The 23,293-nt window shown below is 41.7% G+C and overlaps 1 protein-coding gene across 1 annotated transcript in view; it reads left to right on the top strand.

The window, feature by feature from the left end:
- Nucleotides 1-23,293, top strand: part of DNER (delta/notch like EGF repeat containing) — a 356,927-nt gene that overhangs the window by 122,398 nt on the left and 211,236 nt on the right. Inside the window, exons 2-4 of the mRNA NM_139072.4 lie at nucleotides 270-578; nucleotides 3,670-3,764; nucleotides 6,134-6,300. Of these exons, the coding sequence (NP_620711.3) occupies nucleotides 270-578; nucleotides 3,670-3,764; nucleotides 6,134-6,300 (571 nt within the window). The remainder of the gene's footprint in view (nucleotides 1-269; nucleotides 579-3,669; nucleotides 3,765-6,133; nucleotides 6,301-23,293) is intronic.

Genomic DNA, 23,293 nt, shown 5'->3' with positions numbered 1-23,293 from the left:
AATCGACATTATTGGGTGTTTTGGGTTTTGAGGAGGCTGCTCTCCACTTTGTATTTTCTTGCTGGGTGCCTCTTATCTGTGGTAAGGTTAATGTTCGGATGACCTTGGTGTACACCCCACCCCACAACAGCACAAGTAGTTAAGGAGTGTATTCCACAGGAACAGCATTTCCATTACAGCAGTCGCTCTGAGACACAGAGCTAATTTCCCAGCGATGGCACCACTTTTCTTATGAGGGAATAATTGACCCATTTATGGTCTCGTTTCAGCTTGTTGCAGATCCTTGTGCCAGCAACCCTTGTCACCATGGCAACTGCAGCAGCAGCAGCAGCAGCAGCAGCGATGGCTACCTCTGCATTTGCAATGAAGGCTATGAAGGTCCCAACTGTGAACAGGCACTTCCCAGTCTCCCAGCCACTGGCTGGACCGAATCCATGGCACCCCGACAGCTTCAGCCTGTTCCTGCTACTCAGGAGCCTGACAAAATCCTGCCTCGCTCTCAGGCAACGGTGACACTGCCTACCTGGCAGCCGAAAACAGGGCAGAAAGTTGTAGAAATGAAATGGGATCAAGTGGAGGTGAGAACGTTATATCATGTGCATTTTTACATTAGAAACCAGAAATCTTAAAGTGACTCCAGCGGTTCTAGTATCAGCAATTAAAAATGAAAGCATTTTAAGTTAAATCACGAAGCAAAATATCTCCCTAAACTTATTCCTGTCTGCATTTGTGTGTACGATGGTTTTATAAGTATAAAAAGAGTAAACAAAAAAATGAATCAAATTATTTTTTGGAATGGTATCCACATGTATTTCTGTGAGATAATCTTAGATTTTGGGGAAGACAGCTCAGTGTAGTCATGTAAAGGAACATGTCATAGGACCCTCCATCATTGACCTTATTTTCCTTTCTGGGAGTGTGTCTTAGTCTGTTAAGGCTGCTATAACAAAAATGCCACAAACTGGGTTGCTTATAACCAACACACAGTATTGGTCCATTCTTGAGTGGTTATGAAGAAATACATGAGGCTGGGCAATTTATAGAGAAAAGAAGTTTATTGGCTCATTGTTCTTCAGGCTGTACATAAAGCATGGCACCAGCATCTGCTTCTGCTGAGCCTCTGGAAGCTTACAATCATGGCGGAAGGCAAAGGGGAGCCAGTGTGTCACATGGCAAGAGTGAGGGCAAGAGAGGGAAGGGAGAGGTCCCAGAAAACAATCCAATCTCACCTGAACTCACTTATCACCAAGGGGACGGTGCTAAGTCTTTCATGAGAGATCTGCCCCCATGGCCCAAACATCTCCTACCAGACCTCACATCCCACATTGGAGATCACATTTCAACATGAGATTTGAAGACACAGATCCAAATCATATCACAGACATTTATTTCTCACAGCCTTGGAGACAAGGAAGTCCACGATCAAGGCAGATTCAGAGTCTGGTGAGGGCCTGTTTCTTCACAGCCCGCGTCTTCTCACTGTAACCTCACATGGTAGAAGGCGCTATGGAGCTCTTTCAGGTCTTTTACAAGGGCACTAATCTCATTCACCAGCCCTGTGCCCTGCTGATCTAACCACCTCTCAAAGGCCCCACCTCTTAATACCATCATCATGGTGGTTAGGATTTCACCCATGAATTTAGAGGGGCGCAGACATTCAGACCACAGCAGACCGCAACACTCAACTATTTTTTTACTGTTGTCATTTAGGTTCTATTTTTGGTACCTTGAAGTATTTCAATGGGGTTTAGAAAGAAGAAGCTATCAATGATTTTGACATATTTTTAGAATGCATTTGACAAAGAAACTTCCAAGTTTTATTTATTTTGGCAGCAGCAAATTCTATTTGTTGGAACTTCTCCTATCAAGTTTGAGTTTGGCTGTTTTATCTTCAAGCTCTTCAAAAGTCTTTTCAGTAGACTCCTAGAAGTTGACATAAAATAAATTTGCTGGGTAGAAGAGTTGGGGAACAAATCCAAATCATGAGTTTGAAGTGACACTGGGGAGTGTAATTCCATTCTATATCTTATACTTTATATGTATGACATCCATATAAACCTGTGTCGGTATGTTATTATTACGGGTTTCATCGTTTAAATGAAAAAAAAAAAAATAGATTTTTGCATAGCATGTATTAGAGTCAAGGACTGCATCTAGAAATTTCCTTTATTATAAAAGAGATAGTAGCATTTCTCCTTTTATTTTCTTGAGTAATTCTCACCAGTTGACCCACTTTTTTTTTTTTTTTGTATTACCACACAGCTTATGAAGGCCACATTCAGACTGCAGGGCAATGTTTTTAGCTTACCTAAAAAACTGTGAACTTGCTCTGATTTCAGGCTTTTAATAAATGCTTTGAAGTTATGATGTTAATGCTTCTTTGCTGGATGACTCAGTTCTTGAATGTGAACTAGATTTGATTCAAGTTTATCAAAGAAGTGTCCTTTAAAAGAAAATTTCTCCCTAACCAGCCATTTCAATCTATTTATTTAAAGTCATGTTATTTTACAGTTGGTAAGTGTAAAAAAGAAAAAAAGGAAATGCCTCATCTTCCTATATCATGGATTATTTCTTAGGCTGCTCATGAAGCAGATTTAAAGTGCCAGAGGAAGACATGTTAATATGTATGCCTAACCTGATGGAAACCAGGAGGCATATTATTATCCCCTTTCTGTGAAGTAATGATGCTTTGGAAACATAAAGTTATTTGGAGACTTAGAGGCTTGGGTAGCAGCCATCTGTCATACAAATTTAACAAGTTATACTCACATCTTTGAATATCAGTGGTGGGCTTAATCCATAGAATCTGATTGTAGGGCATTCTGGAAAATAAGATCTAAGTGTGGGCTGTGGAGTGAAATTGCTGAGAGTTTCTGTATTGTTCTCAATTAATTCTGTGATGATGAATACTTTTAATACTGCTTCATTTTCATTGACATGGGGGAGGACAGTAATTGTGGCATGAGGACTAAGTGCATAAATTGGCCAGGTTTATGCTCACTGGACATAGCTCAAGGTTTTGCAGTATGCTTTTTGATGAGCACAGTCCTCCCCCCACCAATTGATCTCCTTTTTAAAAAAATATACATCCATATAATACTTTTGGGAAATAATTTAAAAGCGAAGGTATAGCCTACAAGGAAAAAGAAAGGCAGCGTTCAAGCTCCCCAGCCTTAGCATGTGCTCCTGGACCCATCAGCACACAGAAGAGTCATCAGACCTGATACTGCATGCACTTTGCAAGTCGAAGGCTGGCTTGCCTAGTCATTAGGCTTTTACCTGCTGTTTGTAAGTTAGTCCTTAAAGTTGGCCTCCTGGTTAGCATCAGGTTAAGCATAGTGCAGGGGTCAATGACTGCTTGTTAAATGAATGGAAAATGAGCAGGGAGTGACATCTGCTTCCTGTCCTGCAATATCCTATTGATCAGTTTTAACAATCCCAGGAATTTGTAGATTGCTCTCAGGGAAGCTGTTGCATTTCAGAACATCAAATGACAAAGATTTCATTTTCTTTTGAGTTTGTAAGGCTTCACTTCTTCATCTCCTCTCTAGCCCTACCCCCGCATCATCAAAAGGGATGAAGGAAATTCAGCATGGAATTTTGCTTTATCACATTATGTTATACTATAAACAACCCCAATCATATGTCGTTTTTTTTTTCCCTTCCCAGGTGATCCCAGATATTGCCTGTGGGAATGCCAGTTCTAACAGCTCTGCGGGTGGCCGCCTGGTATCCTTTGAAGTGCCACAGAACACCTCAGTCAAGTAAGAAAATTCTGAGTTACAAACTGTTAAGAGTGATGCTATGACCTATAAGTGGGGTTGTGTCCATCCGCGGACCTGGTGTGTAAGTGGCCTGTCAAGTGAGAATCGTGAACAGATTCCACGGGTAGATGTGGCCCCTGCCATTTGAAAACTAGAGGAAGCGATTTCAGAGGCAATTACAGTGAGGGTTTTCAGGCTGGACAAGTGGAATTGAGAAATTGGACTGGATGAGTCTGGTGTGAGGTGACAAACCGTGAGGCCTTAGATAAGATCTCAGCCAGATTCCTTGTCTCCCAAATGCTTTGCTTCCCAAATTATTGGCCTCTTAAGATTTTATTGGACCATCAGTTACATTCAGATGCATACTTTGCCCCAAATTTAAATTCTACATATTACAATTTTCTCTTTATTTTTTATAATTTTTATTTATTTATTTATTTTTACAGTTTTCTCTTTAAAAGCAAGCGTACAAAGAGAGTGTTTTGTTTAAAATTCAAGCTATTTTAAATGACAGGGTCCATTGTCACCGGTGGGGAAGAGGGAGAGGCATAGGGAAGCAGTGCTGGTTGAGACCTGATATGTGTGGTGCTTTATATGAGGCTCAAGTCAGCAGGTGCCCAGGAGCACAAAGCTGGGGGTGGGGTATGGGCCAGTATTAGGGTGCCCCAGGCCGGCTGACAACCCCCCACTGCCCATCCTTTTCAGTTGCCATTGACTACCACCCTCCCCACACTTTCCATGCAACCTAAGGGGCATTTGCTGTCCAGTCTTTGGGGATTTTTAGAAGACTGGGAACACGTGGCCTGGTTAACCAATCTGTTGCACTGGCTCCCTTTTAAGGGGCCTGCGGGCACTGTAGGTCTCTTCCATGTATCCATCGCCATTTTTGTCTACCTGGCTTTCTAAACAGTGGAGTCCCTGAACATGTTTGGAAGAGGGACTTTGTTACATTGCTCTTGCACCCTGGGTCACCACAGCCTTGAACTCACTCTGGCAGGGGAAGAGCCTGGAAGGGCTGCTTGGGAATTCCTGGGCTCAGGAGGAACGCTCCCATCCGGAGAGGCGGGAGAGGTGAAGCCTGAGGCAGCTTCGAGCTCTACCAGCAGGGGGACCCCGGTCCTAAGCGTTTCTTTCACTGCTCAGACTACAGCTGAAACCCCTGCCGTCCTGGGCTAGTTTTAGGAGCAGGATCTCTAGTTTCCTTTACTCTTAAAACATCTCTCGGCCCTTTCTTGTCTAGATCATATTATCTTACCTTGATAAACCTTTCCAAATTTTCTGGTCTTCTATCTCGTTAAATGCTTTTGTTTTTTTCCTCTCAACAAACCTGCCATTCTCTGAGACTCCCTTAAGCTGCAGAACGGGACCGAATTAGCAGAGTCTGACTCAGACGAAGTGAGATGGGAGTGCCGAATGACCTGAGGGCACTGAATTCACTTGTGGGGGTTACTAGCTCCTTACGCTTTCATTTCCTCATGAATTTAGTCACTGATCAAAGCTTTACTGAGCCCCTGCTGCACGCCAGGAGCCCTGTGCTGGGGGAGCGGATCTGTGCGGAGTCTACTGTGATCTTCTCCAGGAGCACTGGGGAGAATGGGCAGCTGTTGGGATGTTGGGAAGTGGTCAGGAGTCTCTGGGAAGAGGTAATATGTGGGCTAGGAACACATTTCCAAGGTGGAGAAGGAGACAAAGCTTGGGAGGTGAGAAAGAACTGGGTTGGGGTAGCTCGTAGTAGCTGAAGCATTGGGCTGTGAGGAGAAAAGCGCAGGAGGGCAGCTGGGGTTGGGGTTGGGGTTGATGGGCTTTCTGTGACATCCTATTCTCTGTGGGGTGGTTTTGTGTGTTTTTTTTTTTTTTTTTTTTTTTTTTTTTTTTTTTTTTTTTTACCAAAAATGAGCCAGGGGAGGCCTGAAGCATTGGGAGGTGGATTGTATGTGATTGTGTGTGTGTGTGGGTGGGTGGGTGGGGGGTGTTGGGGAAAGGTGACACACTTTTGCTTATTTTGGCAGCATAACTCAGGTGGCTGTGTTGGGTTGCAGTCCACGTTTATGACAAATTTAAGCAAAACTCTTTTTATATTGTGTGGCTATGGAAGGATTTGTCTGAAAGAGAACTCAGTGTACTCTTTTACTGTTCATCAAAGTGGTTACTCAAAGGTGAGTTACCAGTGACTCATTTTGTGGTACACTGTGAACAAGTGGGAGTGTACGCCTTTACAGTGGACGCCCGCGTATCTGTTTATGCCATCGATCTCCTGGTACCTTGGTAGATGCACATACCATCTTTGTATTTATTTTTAATTTGAAGAACTGGTTCTAAGATGAATTTTTCTGAAAGGAGCTTTCTGTTTACATCATTCCTGTTTCCAGGATTCGGCAAGATGCCACTGCCTCACTGATTTTGCTCTGGAAGGTCACGGCCACAGGATTCCAACAGTGCTCCCTCATAGATGGACGAAGTGTGACCCCCCTTCAGGCTTCAGGGGGACTGGTCCTCCTGGAGGAGATGCTCGCCTTGGGGAATAATCACTTTATTGGTGAGTTACCAAAATCTTCTACTCAACACTGCATCTGATTCAACCCAACTTTGGTTTGGTGTTGAGACAGTAGGTAGGGAATTTTGCTCAGATAATCTGAATTCTATCCATCAATGCTATTTCTTTCACTTTGGTAAGGTTTTAGAATAAAAACTGGATTCTAACATAATATTTCTTTTTTTCTTTTTTTTTTTTTTGATGATGGAGTCTCGCTCAGTCACCCAGGCTGGAGTGCACTGGCGCGATCTTGGCTCACTGCAACCTCTGCCTCCTGAGTTCAAGCGATTCTCCTGCCTTAGCCTCCTGAGCAACTGGGGCTACAGGCACCCACCATCATGCTCGGCTCATTTTGCATTTTTAGTAAAGATGGGGTTTCACCACCCTGGCCAGGTTGGTCTTGAAATCCTGACCTCAGGTGATCTGCCTGCCTCAGCCTCCCGAAGTGTTGGGATTATAGGCATGAGCCACTGAGCCTGGCCCTAACATAATATTTCTAGTGTGGCTCAAAGTGGAAAGGCATGGGCTCTGGAATCCAGCGACTGTGTTCCAGCCCTGGCGAAGGCATCACAGGTGTGTGATCTTTGGTACTGAATGCTCTGGCCATCAGTTTTCCTTTGGAATCTTTCATCTGCTTCTTTTTCCAGAAATTGTGGAAAACTTGAGGTGTTGGATGTTGGTCTCTCAGGATAACCTTTGTTCCCAGTTGATTTTGGCCTGACTTAGGGCGTTCAAACACAGCACCTCACAGTGATTTGCCACTGCAGGGTCCCCAACTCAGAAGTAACTGGTGGGATTATAGCTCTCTTTGGGGCCCCTCTCCTCCATAACCACCCCTCCTGCATCAGTCACTTCTAACTTTTTACTCTCTCTTGAACTTGCTTCTGTAGTTTAACCTTCTCAAACTACCACGTGTCCAATTAACTGTTTTCTTTTCTTTTTCTTCTTCTTTTTTTTTTTTTTTTTTGGGACGATCTCAGCTCACTGCAACCTTGGCCTCCCAGGTTCAAGCAATTCCCCTGCCTCAGCCTCCCAAGTAGCTGGGACTACAGGCATGTGCCATCACGCTCAGCTAATTTTTTGTTTTGTATTTTAGTAGAGACGGGGTTTCACCATGTTGGCCAGGATGGTCTTGATCTCCTGACCTCGTGATCCACCCGCCTCGGCCTCCCAAAATGCTGGGATTACAGGCTAATTAGTTGTTTTCTAATTCCTCCGCTTTGGCGTAGAAATGGCCGCCAGAAAGAGAGACCCTCAGTATTCCCTCCCCGACCCACTGCCTCTTGCTTGGACACTTGGACAGTTCCCAGAGGATCACCTTTCCCCTAGTTTAGCATTCTGTGTCCTTTCAGTTGTCTTTGTTTCTCATCCAGCATATAGTACCTTTGGGGTTGGAACTTGGAACTCTGGTGCCTTCGTGTGCTGACATAATGTTCCACCTTGCAGCTCAATTCAAAGGCCTGAGCTCAAGTTTAGAATCTACCCATCCCAGTCCAATGCACCCAGGCAACTTCTTGCATCCTGCTGTTAATTCCTTCTCCTGTCTGACTATATATTGCAACCATCCTCACCTGGAGGATGGGGTAGGCATCCTCCTAGCAGCACCTGTCTCTCAGGGTTGTTTGTCAGCTTAAATTAGATAACGAATGTACAAGGATAATTGACAAATGTTAAGGATTATCCTAGGGCATTTTCTCTATTTTTTTCTGGTGTACACTAAATATTTTGCTAAATGGAAAATATGCATTTAGACTCACCCTCCAAAATATGATGCAAATATCATAATGAAGATAAAGGGATGTAAGAAAATGCTCAGGTCTCTATAATTTATATTGCACTTTATGTTTGACTGACCCTCTTCTGATGAGAAGTTCTTTTTTTAATCTTTGGAAGTCCAGCTGGGGGAGCAGGAATTTTACTGGGTGAAAAGAAGGTAAAGAGAAATTTATTTCGGGAATGAACATAGCTTGACAAAGAGACGAGTGCATTTCACTTCAGACTGGTGTTTGACTATCAGGATGAATGACAGATAATCAGAAATTGTGTGATAAAGACTTGTCAAGAATCAAATCTGAATTTCACTCCCCAATACATTTGAAGTAACTGTTATTTACTTCCATATCTGCTGTAAAGATTTATCTAAAAGGATGTAGTTTCTGTATTTTGATAGTTTTATTTTATATTGAATTTAAGTTTTTCTGTTTGGTATCACATGGAGCTAATATTTCAAGAAAACATATAAAGTATCACTACTCTTTAAAATGTCCTTAACGTTACCAGAAGATACTTATTTAGCATTCAGACAGTCTCTGACCTACGCTGGTTCCACTTAATGACTTTTGACTTTACAACAGTTTGAAAGCTATTAACATTCAGTATAAGCTGTATTTCAAGCACCCGTACAGCTATTCTGTTTTTTACTTTCAATACAGTATTCAATAAGTTGTATAAGATATTCAACACTTTATTATAAAACAGGCTTTGTGTTAGATAATTTTGCCCATCTGCTGGTCAATGTAAGTGTTTTGAGCACGTTTAAATTAGGCGAGGCTAAGCTATGAGGTTTGCTAGGTCAGGTGCATTACATGCATTTTTGACTTACAGTATTTTCAGTTTACACTAGGTTTATTGGGATATGACCTCACTGCAAGTTGAGGAGCATCTGTATAAGTTCATATTTTATACTACTTTTGATGGTAACATAACTATGACCTTAGACTGACATTGAGATTGAGGATGGGGATTAATTGAGATGGATTTTCCAGTATTAATGTAAATTTATTCTTTTGGGATAGAAGAAATCTTGTGAACTCGTACATATTTTGAGCTCATTTTGCTAATCAAAAATTTTGTGGAAAAAATTATCTTTGGATGAAACGTATTATTCCTTATGGGAATAATCTTTAAAACTTTGATATATTAGGTCAGGCGCGGTGGCTCGTGCCCGTAATCCGAGCACTTTGGGAGGCTGAGGCGGGTGGATCACGCGGTCAGGAGATTGAGACCAGCCTGACCAACATGGTGAAACCCCGTCTCTACTAAAAATACAAGAAATTAGCCGGGCGTGGTGATGGGCACTTGTAGTCCCAGCTACTAGGGAGGCTGAGGCAGGAGAATGGTGTGAACCCGGGAGGCGGAGCTTGCAGTGAGCCAAGATCACGCCACTGCACTCTAGCCTGGGCAGCAGAGTGAGACTCCAACTCAAAAAAGAACTTTGATATATTAATAACTATGTTAAGGAATTCTTTTCCCCAAATTATACTTTTGATTATGAGGAGAAAGCAATGATTTTGAGTAACATCCTTTATTTTGATAAACCATTTTTTTTTCATTTTGAAAATTTGATATCTTTCTAAATTTTCTAGTTAGGGCTTTCTGGGTCTTTTATGTGGCTTTGTAAGGAGATCACGATCTTTTGGTGTTATTCTCTTCAAAGGTAGCCAGCAGTCCTGTCCCGAGCTCTTCCTGGGGAGGGATGGCCAGGTTCCTAACCATGATAAATCAACTCCACCTCCACACCGCCAGCTGCTTCTCTTACAAAATCTTTTCATCCTTCAGAAACAAGATGTACCTTTTGCAATCTTTGCGGAAGCCTGATGCTCACTACGTTAACATGTGCTTAACGCTCTTTTTGTTTTGTTTTTAAAAAGGAGCTTATTAAAGCAATTTACTTTTACAATCTGGACTCTCCAGACACAAATACGTTTTAGCTCAGACTATTTTTAAGAGTACAGTGGCGTTCATTTAACAAACAAACCAATGTTAGGGTGGGCGGAAGAAAACTTCCACGGTAAAGGAAGAGTAAAGTTTCAGAATTATGTCGCTGTGTTTCTGTCCCTCCTGCTTGTTTTTTAGAGAGAAGCTGAGGCACTTTCAGGAATTGACTGTCTCCTGCTTCCCATTCACTCTCAATAGTTTGCACATACATAACTAAGGACCACAAATCTTAAATTCAGCTGGATAATAAATAAATAAATAAAAATAAACATAACTGATGACCAAAGGTATTTTCCTGTTTCTATGCAACAGAGCAGAGGAGTTCCTTCTGTGTCTTTGGGAGACAAACTTGGTTGCTGTAACCAGATTTACACAAATACTCTTTAAAAGTTTATTGCCGAGAGCCTAATGTTCTACATTCCGGATTAAGAGAATATACTTACATTTGGCTTATTTCCATGTTACTACAGTTCATTTCTTTATGGTTTTCCTTCATGACCACTGCCTTGTTAATATTTATAGTATTTTGCAGAAAGAAAGAGTTGATAGAACTTTTTACCAAGTGTGTTGTTCTTCCCTCTGTGCCTCAACTTCTTTCCTGCTGTGTTGCCACCAAATTTCGACTCTTCTGGCCTCTCTTTACTTATCTGTCCTGTTTACCCTAAATATGTTACTTCCAAATATGTTATTTGCCTGATGCCACGCATTGGGGTAAATATCTAAATTAGCCTTTTGTTTAACATTGCCCGCTTCTCGGGGAGCATCGGAGGTGCTCATTAGTGTCCTGAATGATTCATTTGCTGGATGTTTCGTATTTTCAAAGAGTCAAATTCATTGCTCCAGTCACATTTCCATGAAACAGTTATGGCTTGCCTGTCTTAAGTATGGGATATATATGTATCTTTAAACTTGCTGTTGCTTAGATGTGATGGCCGATCTCAGGGTGAGAGCCAAACCAGATCTCTGGGGTGTGGCTTCTGTGTTAGGAAGCTGCTGAAGGTCACCATTTCCTTTGGTGAAAGCCCCTTTGTGCTGCTTTTAAGGATTTTCCCCATGTTGCCTCCTGTCCTCAGGCATAGTTCTCCTCTGTTCTGCACAGTGGACTTCTACCCTGCAGCTCACTGCCGGCCCCATCCCCACTGGGGGTGCAACCCTCTCCCACCCCCATTCTGTCTGAGCCTCAGACCCCCAAACTTAGCTCATTTCTAAGGCCTCACTGAAATCCCCCTCTTCTGGAGTGGTTTATGTAGAAAATGGCCAGTTAAAATTCTATTCAGCATGCATTCTCAGATCTCCTTTAACTGCTAAATTCCAGGTACCCTGGAATATTCTAACAGTTATTCTCCCTGGAATATTCTCCTTTGGATCAGAGAACTCAGGCAGGGACTGACTGCTTTATCCACACTCCCTGCCTGCCTCAGAGAAACCCCGATTTTTTCCTGCACACTTTTCTTTCTTATGGTTCGTTTTGTTACCTCCATCTGAAATTTTATCCCTTCTCTCTTCTTTGAAGTTATTTTCATTTTGATCCAGTCTATTCCTCTCTCCATTTGTTCCTTTATAGTGGTCTTTCTAGCTTCTTATACTTGCCTTTTTCTCTTCCTTCATTCTGTTCTCCTGCCCATAGCCTACTATTTTTTCAATCCCTTTTATTAGGTACACATTTGTACCATCCTTTCTTACAGTTTCAGTACATTTATTAAAATGTCTAACTTATAACATAAGTGCATGTTACTGTTTAATCCAGACCATTGGTATTTCATGTATGACCTCCTAAAATGCTTCTCTCATAACTTTAGGTCCACTGTAACTTCAAAGGGGTGAATGGTACAACCCATGGCTGATAAGAATGTCCTTGTTGGAGCTGAGGTCATTTCTTCAGGATTATAGCCATCAAATTAACCATGGAACCCTGGAAATCAACAATTTGCAGGTCTTTCTAATTGACGTCTTAACTGGATTAGAAGGTTTCCCAGTCAGCCCATGACTCCTCTGAGCCTCCTGGGAGCTCTAGAGAGAGTGCTTTCAGTTGCCTTGATTCTACATTTCTAGCCTGAAAAGATTCTTGTTTTGAAAATGGTTCCTACGGTAGTGTATTCACTTTGTTTGTTTTTTCTCTTGAGAAATAAGACATGAATAACTAGGTACTTTAGGAGGTACAAGGAGGAATAAGACTTTTCTTTTACTAAAGTAGTAAGACTGTCCTGGTGCTCTGGCCCTTCACAGTCCCCAGGATTTTATTCTTTATGGACTTACCATAAAGTCTTCTTACCAAGCTTCTATCTTGACTGGCATAGTGATGCTTCCCTGGAGATAACAGTGTTTTGTAGCCTAACAGTTTATACTATGTTTAGAAAAAAAAAAAAAGGAATTCTCAATACCCAGCCAACTAATACCATTACTCTTAGGCAAAAGTTCCTAATTTAGGCTCAGTGGGCCCTTGGTTTTGAGGTAGTCATAGGGGTCAAAGATCCACTTCATGGATCTCATGAATCTCCTGAAAATGCACTTTTGTGTATCCATGCATCCTTCTCAGGAGAGAGTCAAAACCTCATTGGATTCTCAAAGATATCTGAGTCCCTAAAAATTGTAGAGCACCGCTTAAAGCTACCTGTGGGAGGATGTATGTTTTTCAGCATTCTCCGCTCACCCAGTGATATTTCCTTTGACAGATGTACCTGCTTCCTAAGTCTCCATATTGAGGAAATTAAATTATTTATTTATATTTGTAGGTAGCAGGGCTGTGGGAAATACTCAGTTCCGTATTAGTTTAGAAAAGATGCATTGCATGCCTCTCATTTTCCAAGCACTGTGGTAGTCTGGATGTGCAAAGATGATTTAGGTGTGGTCTCTGAGTGAATGGGGCAACAAAAGCTTAGACAAGTGCCCAAGACAGGGTTGTATATAAGTGGCCATGGGATTCAGATGAAGAAGCAGCTAACTCTGCCAGAGGGAGGGAAGGCAGGCCAGTATTCTCCTTGGACATACAAAGGGCAGTGTGTGTGTGGCATTTTGATGGCACAGTAGTCTGTGCTATTTAAGATCATTTCATAATAGTGCTAGAAATGGACTAGTGACCATCACAACTGGAAATAGAGATATTTCAACAAGCATGTAACAGAACCTTTGAATATGTCACCTGCCTCCACCCAGCTGCCTCTCATCTTGGATATGAACACATTTATATAAAGGTAGGTGCTCAAGATGTGGATGATATTTCTTGAGTTCTCTGTTTATCTTTCAAACGAAAAAGAGGGATCTTCTAGTCTTCGATGTGAATTTCTGGGTAGTCCTTTGGAATTCCTTAGTAAAGCTCTATTTTCTTATTCTTGAACTCTGCTTCCCTCCCTTCTGGGTAAACTATTCCTATAAGCCTTGTCCTTTAAAATGAAAGTTTCAAAAGCAACTGGAGCTGGGGTACCTCATTCTGTAAATTTGACAGAGAGAGTGATTTTGGAGAAAGTCTTCCTGAAGGCAGGGGGCACCACTGGGGCTGTATTAGCTGGGGTGAGGGCTGCTGGCAGTATTGAAAGGGGGAAAAGTTCCAGTAGAAAAGTAGGGGTGGGGGATGTTGCTAACATCTCAGCTTGGCTGGAGGGCTTCCTGAAGCCAGGCATAGTGGCCAGTGTTAATTTTCTGTGTGTGTCTATTTTAGCTATTCAGGCATCAAGTCTCTAGATGTGTATTCCTTTGTCTCAGCCATTTCTTGACGAATCCTTTTGTTTCCTGCTCAGGAATTAAAAGGAATCCAGAGATAAAAAGGCCAGATCCTGCCACTCCCTAGCTGCCCTCCTGTTCCATTTTGTTACTGTCTGACTACCAGCTCCTGTGACTGCTTCCTGGCCATGTGGAGCAGCTGGGACCTGGCTCCCTGTGGAAGACTCAGGGTGATAGGGACGAGATGGGAGGAGACAGGGCGAGCGACCGACCAGGACATGCCAGAAGAAAGGACTCCCATAGGAAGTGAAAGATGCTTAGCATACGTTTTTCTCTTGTCAGAAAAGCCCACGGGGAGATGCAGAACCAAACTGGAAATTCACCTCTTGGTACTGTGAAGAGCTGAGGGTCTGCGTGTCTCTTTTCTGTACACTCTGACTTTAGGTGATATTTTCCCTGCCTCTAATATTCACTTAAGTTGAATTTCACTCTTTAATCTTATGTATTTCTATGAGCCTCTCAGATCTTATAGAGTAAGTTAAGATATAAAGAAATAAGATAGTTGGCAGGACACTTAAATTTTTGGAATATTCTTTAACTTGGTAATATCTTTATTGATTATATATTTTTAAGGATCTTTGTTTCCCAGCTCTGATGCAGTGAAGCTGGGTTGATTCTTTAAAATGTGTTAACTCATCTTTTGTAATCCATCTTTACTGAATGTAAATTCTTACTAGCACACTGGCACCCTGGAATATTCAAAGAAGTTATTCTTCCTGGAATATTCTCCTTTGGATCAGAAAACTCAGGCAGGGCATATCTGCTTTATCCACACTTCTTTGTTTTTTTTTTGAGACAGAGTCTCTCTTTGTTGCCCATGCTGGAGTGCAATGGCACGATCTCTGCTCACTGCAGCCTCTGCCTCCCGGGCTCAAGTGATTCTCCTGCCTCAGCCTCCTGAGTAGCTGGGGTTACAGGCTCCCACCACCACGCCCAGCTAATTTTGTATCTTTAGTAGAGATGGCGTCCTGACCTCAAATATTCCTCCTGCCTCAGCCTCCCAAAGTGCTGGAATTACAGGCATGAGCCACTGCGCCCAGCCTATCCACACTTCTAGAACTGCCCATTTTCTATAACTGCCCCTTTCATTCTCATAATGTCAGGCCCTGCATTCTCCAGACCTACCCAGTTACATGAAGCCTCTAGTCTCTGATCCATTCTCAAACAAGCCTGCAGTACTTTATTAGCTTTTATTGGTGGAGGGAGTTCCCATGTACATCTTACCATTCAAATCAATTTTCCTGGGGTCCCTGGCCCCTTGGTTGTACATTGAACTGGAATATTCTCCTCTAAATGCATAGACACTAAGCTTCCTCCAGCTTCCTGGAGCAAAACCTGATTTCCTTAGGCATAAAGTCCCACTGCCCACAGTCCCAGCTTCACGACCCTTACCCTGACCAGCTGCTTCATCTGTGGTAGGTCCCCTTCTCCGTGGTCTGGACCCTGATTTCATGATAGTCCCATTAGTTCTGCCTTGGACCATGCCCTCTTCTTAGATACCAAGGCCAGCTCAGATTGGGGCTGTGTCTTTCCTGCCTCTGAACCCTGTGGTTTGGCTTGCTGGGCAGCCTTCCTAGCTGTTCACCTAACTCAGCTCTGCAGGTTTCCCACTGGTTCTTCTCCGTGTAGCTGGCGTCATTTCTCTCCACTCTGATTCCCTTCCCCTTCTTTTATAAAATCTTTGCTTTACCAGTCATGTGTCTCACATTACTTTCTGCTAATCACATTGACAGCCAGTATCACACAAAGTAGCATCAGAATGTTCTCCGTTCCCCCCCACAAACCTTTTCTGGCATGATGATTTTATATGTTTAATTAAACTGTAAACTTCTAGAGAGATTGGACCATGCCATAGCTCCTTGCAACCATGATGACCACATGTTCGTCACTTGACTGGTTAAATTTTGTTCCTATGTAAAAGTTATTCTGCCATTTCCTAATGCCATGTGAAGAAAATTCCCAGCTGCAAAATGTCAACCTTAAGAATTATTTGTAGGTTTTCACAATCTACCTCTGTGACATTTAAATCCTCATTCCCCCTTTTTATTATATTAAAAGTATTTTAGAGTATCAAATGCCAAAAAAAAAAAAAAAAAAAGAGAGAGAAACTTTCATCATTCTTTTGGGAATGTTACATTTTGTCCTCTAAGATACCCTGCTCTGGGGGCCAGGGGTAAAACAGTTGAAGAAAGTTTGGAAAAGATATCATCTATAGAATCATTAACATCTTTCACTGAAAACTTAAGATTTAAAAAAAATGCAAATATTTCACCTTTTCATGGTCATTTTAAAACCACAATTGAGTAAGTTCTGCTGAACTCACTGCAATGGTGGGGGTAGGGAGTGTAGCGGGGAGAACCATTGGAATGTTCCAATGCAATAGTTTGAAAAGAACAAAAGCAGAGGAAATATAAAGCTTCCCTGAATGGCATAATTTACATCAAATTCTTATAGCTCACATTTGCTTAGTTCAAAGATTTCTATGAAATTTGAGTTTTACTTAAATTGAGACCTCATATTAATATTGTCAGCAATCAAGATTATTCTTTTTGATCTTCTATTACTTAATGGATTTTAGGATTTAAAAAAATTAGTTGGCCTGAACTCCATGCCCTATTTCTATATGCCCTAATCCTAAATATTGTCATGGTCAGCATGATTTACTTATTGGTACCTGTTGATTGTGGTGATACCCCGAGCATTCCATTCTGGATACGTCTGTCCCTGGAGCTGGCAGTCTAAGGTCCATTGGCCCTGCTGGGATGGGCTTCCCAGGCTGCGGTGGTGTTGGAGCAGGTGATCAAAGATGGATGAGATGTTTCTCTTCCTACCAAGACTGTCCCTGAAATCAGGTTGGTTAGAAAGGAAGATCCCTGGTCCCCCCAATGGACCTGGTAGCTCCTCAGGAGACTCTTTCACAATGCTCTCAGCCAATTTCTTTGAGCACTAAAAGTTATGCAAATTCTAGGAATTTATCAAGAAGTAAAGGACAACCCTCAGTAGGGTAAAGCCAGTCTGAGTCCATGTGGAAGGGCACTGTCATGAGTTACTAAGATGCTTCTGCAGTTTTTGAGCATCAGTTTCAAAATTTAATAGAACAGAGCAGTTGCAGATATTCTACAATTTGGGCCTGATCCATTACGTGGGGGATTGCCTGGTTTTGAGAAGCAAACTGAAGATATGACTTCAAAGCCATAAATTCTCCTTTTCTCTCCTTCCTCATTCTGCCTCATTTTCTCTCTCTCCCCATCAACACTCTATTTAAAAAAAATAAAGCTAGTGCATTTTATTTACAGGTTAATTTATGAAAATTACATAATAAGTTATTTTTATATTTTAAAGCATTTCTTCTTAATTCTAGAAAGAAATACTTTATCCCTTAATAATAATGAATTTTAACCGAAATCTTGTCTGTGGAATTCGATTAAATATTTCTTTAAAACTTTCCCTTTTTCTTTTAACTTAGAGACAAACTTTCTCGGGGCTTTGCCAGCTTACGGTCAAAAGCTTTTCTTAGCTTCTGTCAGTGCAAATTTCAACTAAGAAAGTAATTTTTTAAATTGCCTTTTTTTATAGCCAAATTTCTGCTCCTTTGTAGCATCTCTTCTCTTTCTTTGGAGAGAGGAAGAAAGAGAAGGAGAGCAGGAAAGAGAGAGAATTTCTCAGGACAAAATATGCAAACTTCCAGAAGTATGCGTTTCTCTCAACAAGGTAATTTATTTTCTTTTGAAGAATGAAAAAGACTCTATTGTCTATTTATTATGAAATTAATATATACAAGAAAGATAAGAAAAACTGGTTTCTTCTCCTATAACCCGCCCCTCTACTGACAACCAGTGTTTACATTTTGTGATATTTCCTTTTCTTTGCATGACAGTGCATGTATATAGACATACACTGTTTTTGGAAAGAAGAATACATTCATTTACTGTCTGGTTATTTGCTTTTTTCATTTAATGTTTCACTGACAATCTTTTATGTTAATAAATATAAATCTCTAACAGTTTTCTTTGTGGTGGTATAGGGTTCCATTGAATCAATGTACTATAATTTATTATCAATAGGCTATCGTTACACAATTCGTTCCTTCCTTTCTTTCTTCCTTTTTTCTGCTTCTTTGGGCAGAATTTCAAATGTTGGTATAACCACATCTTTGTGTCTTCTCGGATGATTTATTTGGGTTAAATTCCCAGATATGGAATTTACTGGATCAAAGGGTTTGTATATTTTAATGGCACATTTGATACACATTATCCAGTTGTCTTTAACTTTCTTCCAGTTTTCGCTCAGGACAGCCAGTTTATCTTCAGAATTCTGTGTTGCTCCACTTCCATCAACCTTCAGGTGGCATTCAACTTGAAATTTACGTGTACTTTTTAGCAACGTCCTTAAGAATCTGAGACTTTTAGGGATCTCCTCAAGGAAAAAACAGTGATCATTAACAGTTTTCAGAAAAAGGACAGTGCAAATCTCCTTAAGCAGAAGATATTTAAGTGGTTTCATCACAATATTGCATTTATACATTGGAGTAATGGTAAATGTAGTGGTTTCATTGTATTACTACATTTGCACATCACAGTCAATGTGGAATGGCCAGGAAGGTTAGGAAATAAACAGGGGGTTGCTGCTTTCATGGTCTTTCATGGACGCTATCACATTGCCAAGTTCTAGTGACATTCCTCTCATTTAATGTTATGCAGAGAACAGTCATATTCCAGAAGATCACAATTCCTGATTTCATTTCCATTTCCTTCTCTGTGATCCTTTTGCTTTTCCACTACAATCTCCTGAAGGTAGATATTTAAGTACCTTTTATCATAGACTTTTTACGAGGTCAGAATGAGTGCATGAGAATGGAAGGAAGGATTTTTCAGAAAATGCAAATGTTTTGAAAACCCATCAGAGAGGTGTTAGAGATGATCATTTACTTTTGACATGAAATCATGGTAGTTTTAATTGTTTCTCACAAAGGTCTTGGGTATAAAACTCAGAGCATCAAGAAAATGGACCAGAGTCGAACATGTCAGCAGAAGAAAATTGTCTAGTTTTTGAAGAATATAAATAATTGGGATTGCATTTTGAAAATGCTGTCTTGCTTTCTCATCTCAAATGCTCTCTCTGACATTTGGGTTTTGAATGCCATGATATTTTTGGTATTCACGTGCATTCTTCACAAGCAATCCTCACATGGTTGTCCTGTTTTAATGCCGTAATTGTGAGTTTGACCTACAAAAGTTATATTTGCTTGGTAGACAAATGGATAATCTCCTTAAATAAATACATGACAAATGCTGTTTGGCTGCATCGCTAATAACAGATGACAGCCTCTGGAACATTCCATGATAAAAAACAGGGATCACGTCATCTGCTCATTTATCTGCATCCTTGTTTATCATCAACTAACATTTATGGATTAATGACTACATGTAGGACACTGTTCCCAGGACTGGGAATACAAAGAAATACCAGGTCCCAATCCCTGACTTTAAGAGATTTTAGCCTCCAAACAAACAAGTTATACTCATTATGTAACTCAGATAAATCTTGTTGTCTCATGTCCTAGTCTTGTTCATAAAGTCACATTCAAGTAACCAAAAATTAAAACACTGTATATGTTTACTCATCTTTTTGAGGGATTATGAATAAGAGTGGAAAAAATGCATTCCTGTCGTGCAGCAAAAAACTGCATCCATCTTATCTTGTCCTTTCTCTTCTCTTAATAGTCTCCATGTGTTTGGCACCTGCTTTCTTAAATTCTCTCTCCCACTATCAAGGTCTGCTTCCCAATGTCTCAGCCTTTGAGGCTTTCCTTTCCTTTCTCTTCTTGTCCTGTTCCTTTAGCACAGTGCTTTATATGTCACTGTAGCCTCTCTGTTTGTTTTTAGTTCTTCTATTTCCTTCCTTACTTGGATTCTCCACTGCAAAGAATTTGACTGGGAGATGACCCAGCAAGCTGGCCTTTCTCCCTTTCAAGCTGAAGTAAGGGGCAATTGCTAACATTCATGTAACATGTAATTGTTACTCTAGTTAGACGTTAATGATTTTGAGATGATGTGGCACATCAAGAGATTAATCGGAAGATCAAGGAGTGTCTATTCAATATTAGATGAACTGTACAGTCCATTTAGGGTCTACATGAATTCACATCGCAAGTTGAGAGTAGTCACCAAGGGGCAAGTGAAGGCTTTAGAACTCGAGGTGTATCTTGAGCTTGGCCTTGAACTGAAGAGCAGGTATGAGAGGGAAAGGCATTTGGGGTAAAGGGGAACGGTGTGAGTAACAACACGGGAGGGAGAATGCTCTGTTTAGAAATAATAGGACAATTTGGCTAGGGTAGTGGAAAGTTATGGAAAATTAACAAAGGGATAGGATGTAAGAGCCAGACTGCAAAGGGGTGTGTGTGCTGTGTTGAGATCTGTATTTAGCTTGTAGGCAGTGGTGATGCAGGGTTTTAAGTAGAGGAGGGGGTGCTGGTGGTGGCTGTGGTGGAGATATAACATGGGGAGTGTTATGGAGTAGCTTTTGGTAAAATGAAGAGCCAGAATCCAGTGGGTGGAAGTGGGAGCAAAAGCAGGCCTATGGGTGTCAGGACCACTGTCAAAGTCAACTCTAGACGTGCTTGTGTGTGAGGGAAGTACTGAGAAACAAGGTGGCAGAATCAAGAGTGACAGACACCACGGTTTCAGGGGGGGAGGTCTCATCAATGGGAATATACCAAGTTAGAAAGAAAGGTTCTTTTCTGAAAAGAACTGCTGCATTGCATTTGGATGTGTTTTTGGCATTCAGTGGGCAGTTAAAAGTGCAGAACCCCAATTCACGGGGAGGCCAGGGGTAGAAGTTGAGTGCAGAGGTGGGAGTCTTCCGTAGGGAGGTTAGAATGGAAGCTGCTGGGGAGGAAGGAACACACAGAGAGAGAAGGCGTGGGGAGCAGAGAGAAGGAATCTGGGTAAACGCGAGTGTTGAGCTATGTGTAGCACATGGGAGGAGAAAGTGAGCCAGCCAAAGAGGAGTAAGGGAGAGGTGGAGCTGGAGACAGATGGTGAGAGGGAGTGGGAGGGGAAAAGCAAATCCTAGAGGGAATTTCAAGGTTTGAGATTTTAGCAGCAAGTAGATTTCAATGGCGGTAAACTCTGAGTGTGGCTTCCCTCTTCTGATGAGGCAGCTTCCTCCTTCCTGCACATCGGGCCCAGGCCTGGGCATCATCCTTAACTTTACTCTTTCCCACATCTATTTATCAGAAGGACACTCGGGCTCAAACTTCAACAGATCTCACATCTGACCTCATTTCTCCACCTTCACGGCTACTAGCATGGCCCAACCCCCAGCCTCTCTTACCTAGGTTATTGCAGAAGCTGCCTCACTGGCCTCCCCGCTTCACCCCAGGCCCCTACAACTGGGACCATATTTGGGGAGGACCATTTTATGTCTCATCTCTGCTCACAATCCTGCAATGGCTCTCATTTCCCTCAGAGCAGAAGCCAAGACTTAAACACAGACAAAATCTTCCATGTCTGCCCCTTAATTCTCTGATCCTGGCTTCCCCTCTTCTCCCCCGTGCTCCTACCACTTCCAGAACTTCCCAGGCATCCCTGTGCCTTGGCTTTTGCACTGGCCACGCCCTCATCTGGACTCCCTCCCCCACCTGCTTTGCCTCTTTGTTTACTCATCACCTTCTCAGTCTAACCTCCACTCTTATACAACTGCAACCCCGCTTCTCCTCTCGTGCCCCTCATACTCCACATGCCTGTGCCCTGCTCTCTTTTCCCCCATAGAATGTATCACTCTTGATTTTTTTTTTTTTTGAGATGGAGTTTTGCTCTTGCCCAAGCTGGAGTGTAATGGCGCAAACTCAGCTCACTGCAACCTCTGCCTCCCAGGTTCAAAGGATTCTCCTGCCTCAGCCTCCCACGTAGCTGGGATTATAGGCGCCCAACACCATGCCTGACTAATTTTCATATTTTTAGTAGAGACGGGGTTTCACCATGTTGGTCAGGCTGGTCTCCTGACCTCAGGTGATTTGCCAGCCTTGACCTCCCAAAGTGCTGAGATTACAGGCGTAAGCCACCACACCTGGCCCACTTTCTAATATAGACTATAACACCTATTTATTACCTGTCTCTTCTGCTGGAATGTAGGCACAATGAATGCAGGGAACTTTGTGTGTTTTGCTTACTGTTGCATCAAAATGACTTATTTCAGTACCTGGTTCATAGTAGGTATGCAATAAATGTTTACTGAATAAATTCGGTAAATATTACATTCCTGGTAAATAGTCAGGAGGAATTATTCTGTAAGTGTGGAAACCCAACTCCAACTTGCTTACAGGAAACAACCAAAAAACCAGCTAGCAAAGGTGATAAGCGAGAATCTCATGCAGTTGAAAGTCCAGGGGTGGATCTGGTTTCAGTAAGTGTTACAGCCAGCTGGAATCACACAGATCTCCTGGAAGAAAATTATGGCCCTCTGAAACGTTTGGTTTCGACTTGTTTTAGATTTTGTGCATCTGATCATATTTCGTAGAATACATTGTGGAGATGCATTGATGCACGTGCTCACACCCATCCATCCATTATACATACAGGCACACATCCATGGGAGCACTTCTGTAAGTGCAGTGAGCCCTCTGAATCTGTGGATTCCACATCTGCCAATTCAACCAACCATGGATCAAAAATATTTGAAAAAAATAAAAAATAAACAATAATAATGTAACAAAAATAATACAAATAAAAAACTAATACAGTGTAATAATAATTTACATAGCATTGACCTTCTATTAGGTATTATAAATAATCTAGAGATGATTTAAAGTATATCAGAAGATGTGCAGATGTGCATAGGTTATATCCAAATACTACTCCATCTTATATAGAGAACTTAAAAAATTTTTTTTTTTAATTTTTTTGAGATGGAGTCTTATTCTGTCATCTAGGCTGGATTGCAGTGGCTCGATCTTGGCTCACTGCAACCTCTGCCTCCCAGGTTCAAGTGATTCTCCTGCCTCAGCTTCCTGAGTAGCTGGGACTACAGGCGTGAGCCATCATGCCCTGTTAACTTTTGTATTTTTAGTAGAGTCTAGGTTTCACCATGTTGGCCGGGATAGTCTCAAACTCCTGACCTCAAGTGATCCGCCCACCTTGCCTCCCAAAGTGGTGGGATTACAGGCTTGAGCAACTGCGCTCAGCCTATGTAAGGGACTAGAACATCTTCAGATTTTGGTATCTGTGGGGGTTCCTGGAACGAGTATCCTGTGAATACTGAGGGATGACTGTATACACAACCACAGATGCACATTCATGTATATGCACACACATAGATACGCATCCATCCATAGGCACACACATACAGAGATGCACAGACATGTATATACACAGACATAGATACGCATCCATCCATAGGCACATGCATACAGAGATGCACATTCGTGTATATGCACACACATAGATACACATCCATCCATAAGCACACATATACAGAGATGCACAGACATGTATATGCACATAGGTCATTTACAAGATTTGGTAGGTATAATAGATCATTATAAAAGAATGATCTGTTGGCT

The sequence above is a fragment of the Homo sapiens genome, chromosome 2, assembly GCF_000001405.40.
Source record: "Homo sapiens chromosome 2, GRCh38.p14 Primary Assembly".
Classification (NCBI taxonomy): Eukaryota; Metazoa; Chordata; class Mammalia; order Primates; family Hominidae; genus Homo; species Homo sapiens.
Note: the sequence above shows the minus strand (reverse complement) of the source record. Positions and strands in the feature narration are given on the sequence as shown.